This window comes from Homo sapiens, chromosome 15 (assembly GCF_000001405.40).
Source record: "Homo sapiens chromosome 15, GRCh38.p14 Primary Assembly".
NCBI classification, from domain to species: domain Eukaryota; kingdom Metazoa; phylum Chordata; class Mammalia; order Primates; family Hominidae; genus Homo; species Homo sapiens.
In genome coordinates, this window is record NC_000015.10 from 89,756,270 (window position 1) to 89,770,669 (window position 14,400).

At 52.5% G+C, this 14,400-nt stretch overlaps 2 annotated features.

Moving 5' to 3' along the window:
- Window positions 5,115–5,204: a silencer, noted in NCBI's record as "silent region_6805". NCBI's record gives its function as "represses an Ori minimal core promoter by ATAC-STARR-seq in GM12878 lymphoblastoid cells {active_cell/tissue: GM12878}" and the evidence as "EXISTENCE:reporter gene assay evidence [ECO:0000049][PMID:35858748]".
- Window positions 11,367–12,084: an enhancer, noted in NCBI's record as "H3K4me1 hESC enhancer chr15:90310867-90311584 (GRCh37/hg19 assembly coordinates)". NCBI's record gives its function as "activates a minimal SCP1, AML or CMV promoter by ChIP-STARR-seq in primed H9 embryonic stem cells {active_cell/tissue: H9 hESC(primed)}" and the evidence as "EXISTENCE:reporter gene assay evidence [ECO:0000049][PMID:30033119]".

The following is a 14,400-nucleotide window of genomic DNA, read 5'->3' on the forward strand; positions in this document are numbered from 1 at the left end:
TAGGATCCATCTACACCCAAGGACAGCCTGGCCCAAGAGGCACTTCCTCAGCCTGCAGCTGTCAGCAGAGCCCACTCCTGGACTGCAGCAGATGGATGCCTTCCTGGGCTCCAGAGCCAACTCAGGAAACTGGCATGGGGGCCCAGTGACTGGGCCTCTTTGATGCCACTAGGCCCCAAGGGAACATGCGGTTGGGAATTGGTAAAGTGTTCTGTGTGCCGGGGTGGGAGTGGGTGCAGAGAAAAGGCCAGAAGGCGGCCGGGCATGGTGGCTCACGCCTGTAATCCCAGCACTTTGGGAGACCGAGGCAGGTGGATCACCTGAGGTCAGGAGTTCGAGAGCAGCCTGGCCAAAATGGTGAAACCCCATCTCCACTAAAAATACAAAAAAATTAGCTGGGCATGGTGGCAGGCACCTGTAATCCCAGTTACTTGAGAGGCTGAGGCAGGAGAATCACTTGAACCCAGGAGGTGGAGGTTGTGGTGAGCTGAGATCTCACCATTGCACTCCAGCCTGAGCAACAAGAGCAAGACTCCGTCTCAAAAAAAAAAAAAGAAAGAAAGAAAGAAAGAAAAAGAAAAAAAGAAGAGAGAAAAGAAAAGAAAGAAAAGAAAAGGCCAGAAAGCAGAAAGGCTGGACCTCAGGAGGCTCCAGGTGCCCTGTGGTCCAGGGACTGCTAAGCCTCTCAATGCCAAGAAAGCCCTGATTCTCGCATGATTGTGACTTCATTTCGTAGCTTTACTTGAGTAAACTCAGAATGACCACAAACTCGTGTTTTATCTTCGTATCTTTATTTGCAAGTAGAGCATTTGCTTTACACATAGTTACAAAGTCAACACGTGCAGAAGGTAGAGCAAACCTGTTTACCATCCTGCTCTGGGGCTCCCAATTGCCTGTGCCAGAAGAAACCGCCATTACTGGGTTGTCAACAATGCTTTGAAATGAATTTGGTTTTGGGTTTTTTTGTTTGTTTGTTTATTTTCTTTTTCTTTTTCAGGGTCTTGCTCTGTCACGCAGGCTGGAGTGCAGTAGCGCAATCTTGGCTCACTGCTGCCTCGATCCCCTGGGCTCAGGCAATCCTCCCACTTCATACTCCTCAGTAGCTGGAACCACAGGCACCGTGCATCACCACACCCAGCTAATTAAAAAATATTATTTTGGACCGGGCGCAGTGGCTCACACCTGTAATCCCAGCACTTTGGGAGGCCAAGGTGGGTGGATCAGGAGGTCAGGAGATTGAGAGCATCCTGGATAACACAGTGAAACCCCGTCTCTACTAAAAATACAAAAAAATTAGCCAGGCATGGTGGCGGGTGCCTGTAGTCCCAGCTACTTGGGAGGCTGAGGCAGGAGAATTGCTTGAACCCAGGAGGCGGAGGTTGCAGTGAGCCGAGATGGTGCCACCACACTCCAGCCTGGGTGACAGAGCGAGACTCTGTCTCAAAAAATATATATATAAATAAAAAAAAATATATATATATTTTTTTTTGTAGAATCTGAGTCTCACTTTGTTACCCAGGCTGGTTTCAAACTCCTAGCTTCAAGTGATCCTCCCACCTCAGCCTTTCAAAGTGCTGGGATTATAGGTATGAGACACCATGCCCAGCCTGTATTTTATTAAGTACAAAATCAACTACACATATTTGGACAAGAGACCATATGTGTGGGAAGCACACTTTATGTTGAAACCACAGCCCCTAGAAGTTCTCAGATCTGAAACCTAATAGCTAATGTTAAGTGAGCACGTGGGAGCCACCAAGAGATATGGAGCAGGAGAGGGACATCAGGAATGGCCTGTGACAGGAAGATCCCTCGTGTCACCACTGAGGTAGGGTTAGAAAGGCACAGGGGTGAGTTGTGGAGACAACCCACAAATATGGCAAGAGAGAGGTGGGGCAGATGGGAAGGTTCTATCCCCAGTCCCGTCTTTGGGGTCTTCAGCCCTCAAGGCTGACAAATTGAAGGGAACACATGGAGTCCCTCCCTCCCCTGGGGTCTCTGGGAAGTCGCCCCAGGGGCCCAGCTGGTGCAAGGGCAATGGTCAGTGGGCCTGATGGAACCAAGTTAAGGGATGGGAGGCACCCCAACCTGAAGCCCAGTCCCTGCCGCCTCCCACCAGCCAGCCTCCTCTTCCCTGTCCCCTGCCTGTCTCCCCTTTGATCTCCTTATTGTGGCCAGCCTCTCCGGTGGGTTCATGTGGGGGCTGCCTGAGTTAATGAGTTCTCCGGGCGGCAGGGCCCACACGCTCTCCCACTGGGGTGAGGCCTTCACACCTCTGGGGCCTGTGTTTTGACAAGTGCCGGAGCTAGTGGCCTCTGCTCCCCTGGCCCGAGCCTACCCTCTGCCAAACGTGTAAGGCTGGGAAATGAGGCCTTGGGGCAGCCCCACAGGAGCAGAGGTGACAGAGCAAGCTGAGGCCAGCATGGGGGGCAGGCTGGACAGGGCAGCACCCTCTCAGGCTCAGGCCTGGACCTCAGCCTCCCCACTCTACCCAGCCCGCTTCTCACGCCAAACCTGGGTCCTGGGCACTGCCCGGCCCCCCTCCCAGCCCCAAGGCCCTCATTTCCCAGCCAGTCCCTCTGACATAGGAGTACTAATCAGAGGTGCTATGTAAATCGTCCCCTTGCAGACCCTAATCCTGTCCCTGCCGGAGCCAGAGGCCCCAGGAGAAGGAAGCGGCTCTCCTACTGCCAGCCTACTTAGCATCTCCTGGGAAGCTCCTAATTTGGGTGTCCCCCACAGCCAAGGATCTTCCCGCCACACCTCTGCAGCAACCCTCTCAGGGGAGAGATTGTTAGTAGTGAAGCCTCCGCCTTCAGACAGCCCAGGACACTCCTCTGGAGTCTGGCCAATGTGGGCATGAGGCCCTGCCTTGCCATGCACTACCTGTGCCACTTGGGCACCTCGCTCTCCATCTCTGGCCTCAGTGTCTTGTCTGTTGCTGTGCCACAGGGTAATTCCTGCCTTCTGGGCTGAGCATGTGCGGATCAACTCAGGCTGCATGGAGCGTGCGTGCACACTACTGTCCCCCGAGGTCTGGCACTGGGCTGGAGCTTTGCAGGGTCGCTGCTCACACTCACAACACACTTTGATGTGGGTGTAGTGGCCCCCACTTTGTAGATGAGGAAACAGAGGCTCAGAGAGATTGTCCCACCTAACAGGGTGAGCAGGGGCTGAGCTGGCATCCATCTGTCTCTGTCAGAGGCCAAAGCCTCTGTTCTGTCCTCCCTATATCTCCCATGTCTCCTTCGGAGGATGAGTGGCTCCTTCCATCCTGGAGGGAGGTCCTAAGAGTGAAGGGGTTGGGGACCCCTCCGGTCACATTAAGCCTTGCTTCACATCACAGAGACTGAGAAGAAAAAGAGGCCGGGCACAGTAGCTCACGCCTGTAATCCCCACACTTTGTGAGGCTGAGGTGGGTGGATCACCTGAGGCCAGGAGTTCGAGACCAGCCTGGTCAACATGGAGAAACCCCATCTCTATAAAAATACAAAAAATTAGCCAGGCACGGTGGTGGGTGCCTGTAATCCCAGCTACTCGGGAGGCTGAGGCAGGAGAATTGCTTGAACCTGGGAGGTGGAGGCTGCAGTGAGCCGAGATCACACCCCTGCACTCCAACCTGGGCAACAAGAGTGAAACTGTCTCAAAAAAAACAAACAAACAAAGAAAAGGAAGAAGAAGAATAAAGAAGAAGAAGAAAGATGGAAGAAGGAAGAGGAAGAAGAAGAAAAGAAGAAGAAGAAGAGAGAAGAGAGAAGAAAGAAGAAAGAAGAGAGAAGAAGAAAGAAGAAGAAGAGCTTGCAGGCCCCATCTGGACTTCATGGACCAGATCCCTGGAGGATGCAGCCTGAGGATAAAAAATAAAATCTCCCTGAAATTATGCAGCGGTGCCCCACGGTGAACACCCCACCCCAATCAAAAGGTGGGAAAGGCCCTGGGGAGCACCCAGCCCCTGTGGGTCTCAGATCGTGAGGCCTGGAGGCCATGCTTGGGCTGAAGCCCAGAGAAGTCAGAGGGCCCAGCAAGGCGGGCTCACCTTCCCCCACCTGTGCTTCCTTTCCTATCAGCCTCCCGCTGAGGCTCCGCAGCTCCCAGGGCAGCCCCTTCCAAGGACGATCACTCCCTCCCCTCACACCTTCAGCTCTCGGAGCCACTGAGCTGGCAAGCCATATGGAATAGATTATTCTAGACCCACAATAATCTGATTATCTGGCTACAGATCAGCTGGGTGCTCAGCCAGTGGAAGTCGCAGGCAGCCCAGGGGTGACGAGGAGGGAGGGGGTGGGAGAGAGAGACTTGGCAGATTCCAGGAAAGGCTCAAGAGGAAGTGCCGCGTCTTGGTGGGTCTGGAGCTGGCTGACAATGCAGGGTAAGCAGATAGCACGTCTCTCCTAAGGGACGTAGCATTTATGCTCCTTCACTTTCTCCAGGGAAGTGCCAATGGGTCTCAGCCTTAGAGTGAAAAGTGGGGAAACTTGAGGTATAAAGAGAGGAGGCACACTTGTCACACAATGCCACCTGCAAAATGGAGCAGGGGCTCCCGACTGCCTGCTGAGATGTCCTGGGAGACACTGCCTGCCTTGGTGGGAAGGCCCCAGTCGGGACAGAGGGTTCACCCCTGGCTTTCCAGTGTCCACGCACTCCCAACCACAGCCAACAGAGGGCGCTGCCCAGCCGTGTGGGATCTTTGGGTCTGAGCTGGACAGCTCTTCCTCCAATCCTTAAGGACGTTTTTTGGGGCTAGGGCCAGAACCCAGGCTTGGCTCTATTTGGGGGTGCGCTGGGAACTGTGTAGATGTGTCAGGGATGCTGGGCTGGCTTAAGAAATAGATGAAGGCCGGTTCAGTGCCTGTGTGACAGGGCATGTGACCCCAGGCAGGCCGTTTGCCCTCTCTGGACACGTTTGCCCGTCTGTCCACCAGGAAAAGCACGCATCTGTGTGCAGAGACGTGGAGCAAGATGGGAGCCCATCAGAATGAGGAAAAGGATGACAGTTTCAGGAAGGCAGGAGCCAAGCAGAGTTCAACACCCCTCCCCAACACACACATGCCCCAGGTGCAGCTGAGGTAGAAAGAGGCCAGACCACAAGCTGACCGAAACTCGAAACTCTTGCCAGCTCTCGGGTGAGGGTTTGCAGACCTGGCTCAGCTGCCAACTTGGGTGTGCCCAGCCTGCTCAGGCCCTCCAGAAAAGCCCAAGATGGAGCTGTATCCAGGCAGGAAGTGGAGGCTTTGGGCCCTAAGTGCCCCCTCTCCCCTACTGACTGCCCGCAACAGTGGTGAGGTGCTGGGAGGGTGGCCAGCCCCGGGCAGAAGGATGAAGAGTGCAGGGCCGGCCCAGGTCACCAGCCTGGGACCTCATACGAGCTGCCTGGTTCAGGCCCTTGGCTAGCTCCGGGTGCTCCATCTGAGGTTAGGAGAATGCCCCCAAGGTATCTGACTTTAGACCCAGTAAAAAGCAGAGTGGGGCTCCCGGGGCCTAGCTGGAATGCCTGGGCAGGACCTGGGGAAGTGCAGCGCCAGTGGGCGGGGGTCCTTTGCCAGAGGCTGGGGATAGGGCATCCCTGGACAGGCTAGAGAACATTGAAGGGAAGGGGGAGAGAGCTTAAATTGGCCAGATGTGAAATAAAAAGAGGGGTCTTACATGATCTGTACTGACCACGTGCCAAAGACCGAGGACAAGAGGAACTCTATCCTCAGCTCCCAAGGCCCCTCACCAAGAGAAATCCACGATCCAGCGCTTGGCCTGAGCCAAGGAAGTTTTCTTCAGCCTTGTAGATTATGCTCCACCCCAGGCCCTGGGAGCACACAGGATGGCCAGGTGCCTTGGCCAAGGTGCCCCAGGTGTGTGGGCAGTGCTGCTGGCTGCCATTAACCAGGTCAGCCTCAACCATGCACCTCCTGGACTCGACAGGGCTGGGCTGAAGCTTCAGAACAGCCTCACCATGCCCTTTGCCCAGCCATTCCCCTGACAGCAATTCATCCTGATTGGAAAAGATTAAAAGTGCAAGTTTAGACAGACTGCTTAGTGACAAAATCAAGGTGCAGAAATTTCATTCAGTATGGCACCACTGATATAAGCAAAGGCAAAAGAAAATGAAATTTGAAAAACAGCCCGTCTACACAGAAAGTCATAGTATGATACCATGTATTCTGTAAGGGTCTATCGTATATATGTGTATATGTACATAGACAGAGGCCTTGGGTACACACCAAATATAGAAAAACATACCAGGACTTGTTTGGAGTGTGGGTGGGGGCAGGTCTGAGTTCTGGGGGCTGGTCAAGCTTGAATTTTGTCTTCAGTGTTTACATTTTTCACAAGAAGACTACATTCATGTATTACATGTGCAATTTAAAAATAAGTTCTGGTGTACAGCCACACCACCCTGAACGCGCCCAATCTTGTCTTATCTCAGAAGCTAAGTACTAGGATGGGAGACAGCCTGGGAATACCGAATCGTTTAGGTTTCTTTCTTCTTATTATTTTTTTATTATTTAAAATTAAAAAGGCTGGGCATGGTGGCTCACGCCTGTAATCCCAGCACTTTGGGAGGCCGAGGATCCGAGGCAGATCACTTGAGGTCAGGAGTTTGAGACCAGCCTGGCCAACATGGTGAAACTCCGTCTCTACTAAAAATACAAAAATTAGCCAGGTGTGGTGGTGCATGCCTGTAATCCCAGCTACTTGGGAGGCTGAGGCAGAATTGCTTGAACCCAAGAGGTGAAGGTTGCAGTAAGCCAAGATCATGCCATTGTAGTCCAGCCTGGGCAATAGAGTGAGACTCCATCTGAAAAAATAAACATTTTTTTAAAAAGTTAAAAAAATAGAAATAAGTTTTGGCCAGGCGCAGTGGTGCATACCTGTAATCCCAGCACTTTGGGAGGTGGAGGCGAATGGATTGCTTGAGCCCAGGAGTTTGAGACCAGCCTGGGCAACATGGTGAAACCCCGTCTCTACAAAAAAACTTTTTTTAAAAAAAATTAGCTGGGTGTGGTGGTGTGCACCTGTAGTCCCAGATACTTGGGAGGCTGAGGTGGGAGAATACCTTGAGCCTGGGAGGGCAAGGCTGCAGTGAGCTGAGATTACACCACTGCACTCCAGCCTGGATGACAGAGTGAGACCCCGTCTCAAAAATTAATAAATAATAAAAATTAAATTAAATTAAATTAAATTTTATTGCTGGGCATGGTGGTACATTACTGTAGTCTCAGCACTAGGGAGGCTGAGGTAGGAGGACAGCTTCGAGCCCAGTAGTTCGAGACCAGCCTGGGCAATGTAACATAGCAAGACCCAGTCTTAAAAAATAAATAAATAAAAATAGAAATAAATTTTAAAATATAGGCATAAGGATGTACTTATGTGGAAAACTTTATTAAGGGATCTCAGAATACATATTTTGTTAACTAAACTGTCACCACCACGTCACCAGTGGAGTACAGAGCATGCCTTAAAAATCTGGTTGCAGAAGTACATCTACTGGTATGGAGAATGTTCTCGATATATCAGTGAGAAAAGCTGGTCATGAAACAGCACACTATATACCCAGAGAAATTGAAAGCAGGGACTAGAACAGATATTTGTACACCAATGCATAGCTCTAGTTACAGTAGTCAAAAGGTCGAAACGACCCAAATGTTCATTGAAGGATGAATGGATAAACATAATATGGTCTATCCACACAATGGAATATCATTCAACCATAAAAGGGAGTGAAGTACTGATACATGCTACAATGTGGATGCACTGGAAAACCATTATGCTAAGTGAAAGAAGCCAGACACCAGAGGACAAAGATTGCATGATTCCACTTATATGAGGTACCAAGTACAGGCAAATTCAGAGACAGAAGCCGGTAAGAGGTTACCAAGGAATGAAGTGGGGAATAATGGAGTGTTATTGCTTAAGAGTTACAGAGTTTCCATTTAAGGTGATAAAACGTTTTAAAAATAGAAGTGGTCATAGTTGCACAACACTGTGAATGTAATTAATGCCACCGAATTGCAAACTTTAAAATGGCAGAGATGGCAAATTTATGTTATATATATTACTTTTTTTTTTTTTTTTTTTGAGATGGAGTCTCACTCTGTTGCCCAGGCTGGAGTGCAGTGGCGCAATCTTGGCTCATGGCAACCTCTGCCTTCCAGGTTCATGCGATTCTCCTGCCTCAGCCTCCTGAGTAACTGGAATCACAGGCATGCATCACCACAACTGGCTAATTTTTGTATTTTTAGTAGAGACAGGGTTTCGCCATGTTGGCCAGGCTGGTCTTGAACTCCTAACCTCAGGTGAATATTACAATTTTTAAATAATTAAAATGTAATATACAAAAACCTTGAATCGTACACTTTATTTATTTATTGAGACAGGATCTGGCTCTGTCACCCAGGCTGGAGTGCAGTGGCGCAGTCATGGCTCACTGCTGCCTTACCCTCCCAAGCTCAAGCAATCCTCCCACCTCAGCCACCCCAGTAGCTGGGACCACAGGCGTGCGTCACCACACCTGGCTAAGTTTTGCTTTTTTTGGTAGAGACAAGGTCTCGCCATGTTGCCTAGGATGTTCTCGAACTCCTGAACTCAAGTAATCCACCTTGGCCTCCCAAAGTGCTAGGATTACAGGCATGAGCCACCACGCCCGGCCAAATTGTATGGTATGTAATTCTATATCAAAAAAGCTGTTTAAAAAAAAAAAAGAGAAAAATAGGCCAGGCGTGGGCCTGGGATTACGCCAGTAATCCTAGCACTTTGGGAGGCCGAGGCAGGTGGATCATGAGGTCAGGAGATCGAGACTATCCTGGCTAACATGGTGAAACCTTGTCTCTACTAAAAATACAGAAAATTAGCCAGGTGTGGTGGGGGGCACCTGTAGTCCCAGCTACTCGGGAGGCTGAGGCAGGAGAATGGCGTGAACCCGGGAGGCAGAGCTTGCAGAGATTGCGCCACTGCACTCCAGCCTGGGTGACAGAGCAGTGAGACTCCGTCTCAAAAAAAAAAAAAAAAAGAGAAAAAAATATATATGTTAGAAGCTTCAAAAAACAGAAAAACAACCCCAGAAAGTGACATGCTGCCTCTCAATGCCTCTATCTCTATGTTCCTGTGCTGGTAGAGAGGCCTAAAAAAGGTTAAGATGCAATGACATGGGCCAAAGTGCTTCTCTCTGAGTTGATGGAACTGGGGGCCTTTTAAATTCCCTTCTTTTTGTATGTGTATATTCTCTCCCTTTTCTGTAATGAGGATGTGTTGCTTTGGTGAAAAAAAAGAAGGAAAGGAAAGAAAAGGAAGGGAAGGGGAAGAGGAAGGGGAAGAGGAAAGGGAAGGGAGGAGGAGGAAGAAGGAAGGAGAGAAAGGAGAGAAAAAGGAAAGAGGAGAGGAGAGGGGAGGGGAAGGGAGAAGAGGGGAGGGGAGGGGAGAAGAGAGGAGGGGAGGGGAGAAGAGGGGAGGGGAGGGGAGGAGAAAACACTTTGAACCCCCCTGCCCCGCTATCCATCTTGTTCACACTCCAATGGATAAGCCCAAGCCTGGAGACAAGTCCTGGGAGGCTGGGTCTTCCTTCCCAGAGCCTGCAGCCCCTGGAATGGGCACTGCCCTTTGTCCTCCCAAGAGCTGCAGGGCCTGGGGTGGTCCTCTCCAGCAGAGCAGGCAGGCAGGCAGGACTTGTGGAGTCCCAGGTGCCCAACATGTGGTCCTCCATCTAATCCTCCCAGCAAGGACATCCATTTCAGATGAGGAGACTGAGGCTTAGATGGGGAGCTGACCCCAGGCACTGTTGGCCCTAGGCCTGAGCTGCCTCCATGGGCCTTGCTGTCCCAGGAACTGGACCAGGTAGTCCTGGGACTCCCTGGCTCAGCCTTCTTGGAGGAAGAGCAGAGAGTGAGCTCTGTTGGGCAGCTCCCCATGCCTGTGGCTCCCAGCCCCTCCTTTACTTCCCCAGCCAACAGCAGCCAGTCCTTCCCCCTTTTCCACATTCTCTCCAGTGGCGGCTGGGCCCACTCCCAGGCCCCTGCCAGGCTGCAATCAGCCCTTGCCCTGAGATGAGCGCAGCCTCTGGACCAGTTTCCTGCCTCAGGATCTTTGCCTTCCAACCTCTCTCTTTCCTCAAACCTCGTGTGGATCTCACTGCCTCCCTGAGTCTGAACTCCTCACTCAGCAGGACCTCCCCACCCCGTCCAGTTCCCACCTGCTTGTCCACATCATCTCCTGCTTGTCCACATCATCTCCTGCTTATCCCTGCCAGCCTGAGGCACCAGCCCACTGGGCACTGCCAGCAAGCTCGCCCTGGGCATCCCTGTTTCCAGCCTTGGGCTCACACCTTTCCCTCTGCCAGGAACACCCACCCGCCATCACTTGGAGAAAATCCACAATCTCAGGTCCTTTCCTTCCCCCCAGAATCTGCCCTGATGGCCCCAGCAGGGAGCACCTCCCTGCCTTCCACAGGCACCCTGCACACCAGGCCACCACCGGACTCAGTGCCAACTTGTCAGTCCTTCTCCTTCCACTCCCAAGCGGGCAACTCGTCCTCCTGGAGGCTTAGTCCCAGCCAGGCAGTGTTCCCACTGGTGTTATGCACAGTCTTTGACTCAAAGCCAGATACCAGTGGGCTGGAGTCCTGGCTCCAGGGACCTTCAGCAAGTGATGTGACCTCTCTGGGGCCTGTTTCCTGAGCTGAGCCAGGGGAAAGCCGCAGGGTGCAGGGCACAGGGTTTGAGCAGAGCAGGCTCAGCAGGCACAGACTCGGCTTGTCTGTGGAAAGGGCTCAGAAGACGAGGTTGGCCTGACACGCAGTCGGGGCGAGTAGCAGTTCCAGTGGCTGCTCTGTGACCTTGCCCCAGTGGCTGTCAGTCTCTGGGCCTCCCAGTGACACCTCCCAGTGAGGTGCTCTGCTTGGCAGGGCCTCCATGGCTATGCCCATGTACCAGCCCCTGGGGCCAGCGGATGCTGACTTGGGCTCCCCAAGTGAGCGGTCCATCCAGACCCGAGTCCTCCCACACTCCTTCCATCCCTAGCCCAGGAACATAGGCCCTGGCCTTACCCTGGCCCCCTGGGGCTGGGACCTGCAGCCTCCCACCCCCCACCCCAGAAGCACTTTTTGGGGCTTCTGAGGGGACCTGCTGCTGGGCTGTTTTGGAGGCTCCTGCTCACCCTGGTTCCCAAGTCAACACCTTCTGCCCTGAGGGAGGCGGCCTTTGTGTCAACAGGCAGCCAGGAGGTGTGAAGGTAGCCACAGTGGCCCGGTGGGGGGGAGGCTGGGCTGGCCCTCTCTGCCTCGCTGGTAATGAGAATACCACACGGCCCTGCAGCTCCCTCAGGGCCCAGCACCCCCAATTCCCTTCCACATTCCCACAGCCTTCTCACCCCCTAGGGCCTGGAAGGGATCCAAGGGGAAGGAAAGGAGAGGAGACCCGTGGGTCAGGGCCAGACTTTAACCTGGCTCCAGGGCCTTGGACCTGCTCCCAGGGCCCTGCACTACCTACCCAGGGAGAAAGAGCAGGTGCAGAGCTCCTGTGCGCAGGGCTGTGGGCAGCCAGGTGGCTGCAGGGGCCTGTGCTAAGCCACCAAAGGCGGGCTGGACCAAGGGCATTGCCCTCTCTCACCCTGTAACAGGGCCAGGGCCGAATGAGCACATCTTGGGGGGCCAACCTGAGGCCTCTGCCCTCCCCACCCCACTGCTGGTTGGGGAGGAAGTGCTGGGAGGCCCATAAAGGGGTGGTGGGATGGAGGTCTCAAGATTCCTCACTGTCTAGAAGGAATACAGACGGGCATTACCTGCCTCAGGGCCAAGCTGGCCCATGCCACACAGGCAAGACCTGCACAAGATGATGGCAGCTTTGTGCTTCCAACCCTGAGAGCAGGCCTAGCCGAGCCACTGAGCTTCAGGCACCGACAAGAGTAGGTGTGCAGGTGGCCTGAGCTTGGGCACTTGGGAGGCCTCCCGCTGTGCTCCCCCTACTCAGGACACCCTGAGGACTCCCCTGTGTTCCTGCCCTGGGATTACCAGGAGTCCTGAAGCAGCAGCTCCTGTTCTCTCCCTAGTTGTTGGCCTGAGCTCTGAAACAACATCAGTGGTCATCAGGTCCAACCCCCTGTTTTACAGAGCTTGGCAGAGGCCGCAGCAGCCATCTGCTCCAGCTCCTGCACGTGCCTAACGTGTCGTCATCTGACCTTTTCTTGATTAGCTCCAGGAACAGGCCACTCCCTCCCCTACAAGACAGAGCCTCTGACTTAGAAAGTTCTTCAGACTCTCTCTGGAGCGTTCCCCTGGGTCCGTGCCTCTGCAGACAACCGTCACATCCCCTCCACTTTTTTCTTTTTGTACTCAATGCTCCCAGGTCCTCCAGCTATTTCACTGGTGACCTGGCTTCAAGCCCTCTCACCAGCCTCCCTAAGCTGGGATTTGTCCCCATCCCTCATGAACAGTGGCCTCCAGTTCTCACCACTTACTTCAGGTAGGGCCCATCCTGTCTGGAGAATAAGGAACCATCACCATCACTCCTCAGTTGAAGACCCCCCCTCAGTTGAAGACCCCCCCACCCCCGTCCCCACCCCTGCTTCTTGTGATTTTTTTTTTTTTTTTTTTTTGAGACAGTCTTGCTCAGCTGCCCAGGCTGGAGAGCAGTGGCGCGATCTCAGCTCACTGCAACCTCTGCCTCCTGGGTCCAAGGGATTATCCTGCCTCAGCCTCCCGAGTAGCTGGGACTACAGGTGCGCATCATCGTGCCTGGCTAGCTTTTTTGTATTTTTAATAGAGATGGGGTTTCGCCATGTTGGCCAGGCTGGTCTCAAACTCCTGGCCTCAAGTGATCCACCTGCCTCGGCCTCCCAAAGTGCTGGGATCACAGGCGTGAGCCACTGCGCCTGGCCTGCTTCTTGTGAATTTGCATGCAGCTTGGATCACATTTACTTTTATGCCCCTCATACTTTGAAGGCAATGACCACCATGCCCTCCCACATGTGCTGATTTTACAGGATGCCTCCTGACGTGAACTTGGAGAAGGGTACAGGGGACCTGCTCGTTCTATTTGATCAGGTCTGATGGGTTGTTCCAGCCTGTCAGGATTTATTTAGATACTGGCTGTTTCCCAAGTCACTTTTGGGTTTGGGTCTTACCCCACATTAGATCAGTTCATATCTTCATTCAAGATCATAATACTGCCCAGGAAAAGGCTGGGAACAGTGCCTGTGGCCCCTCACTAGAGACCTTCCTCCCAGTGAACATCCGCTCATTCATTTGTGGGAGCCCTGAATCTGTTGTGAATTCACTTAACTGAACCGTCATCCAGCTCACATGGCCCCATTGGTGATAAGGAAACTCTGGGAACTTCCCTATTATGTGGGTAGGAATTGTGTTTCGTTGCTCATAGTACCTCCTAAAATGACACTGACCTAAACAAGATGGTGATTTTTCTTTTTCTTTTCTTTCTTTTTTTTTTTTTTTTTTTTTTTAGCAGGGTGTATCACCATGCACAACACAAGATTACTAAAAGAAAAAGGCAAATAAAGGCTGTGTGGGCAACTAGCAGTGTCTGCCACACTTGTGAAACCCAAATACATTCTTCTGATCACGTTTCCCTGATCTAGCCACCATTCCTATCACAGAAAGGAAGATGTGAACCTGGTGCTACTAGCACACTGAAGCCCAGAATGTAATCACCTTACCCAATGGCACACAGCCACAGGCCCTCTTTTTAACAGGGGAACCAAATGAAGGGTGGAAACACTGAAAAGGGGCTGCAGGGTAGGATCCAAACCTGGCTTGTTTGCTCGGCACCTAGGGCAGGTTCCAGCACAGAGTAAATACGTGGCCCCACACCCATCCAGAAGTGGACCCCTTAAGGGCCCCAGGGCTGTAGGCAAGTTGGACAGGCATCCCTGCCAGGGCCCAACAGAAGAGAAAGGCTGGATATGGAGAGGTGGGGAGGGCAGGATGCCCTGGTTTGGTGTGGGAGCAGTTCCCAGAAAGCAAGGAATCACTTCCTTCTGGGACCAAGGCTGAAGATATCATTCCCCTTACTCACAGTCCAACCTATTCCTTTAATCACTTCTTTCTGCTGTTCCTGAACTTGCTGTAAGCATAACATCAGCCCTGTTCTAAACGTTATCACATGCATTATCTTATTTTACTTCAGTTATCCTGGAGATCAGAATACCCACTTATAGACGGGAAAACTGAGATTGAGTAAGTTGCCCAAGTTCTCCCAGCTGGTAAGAAACCAGGCCTGTCTCACTCTGCAGCCCAGACACCTGACCACTAAGCTGCACTGCCTCCCTGTGCTAAGTGGAGGCCCAGTTGGGGGATCCACTTGGGGTTCCCTCCTGGTGAGTGAGGCTAGCAGATAGAGTGCCCTTGTGCTTCCAGAGCCTAGCTGAGGAGTACAGGGAAGAGCCAGGGGCCACAACAAACCA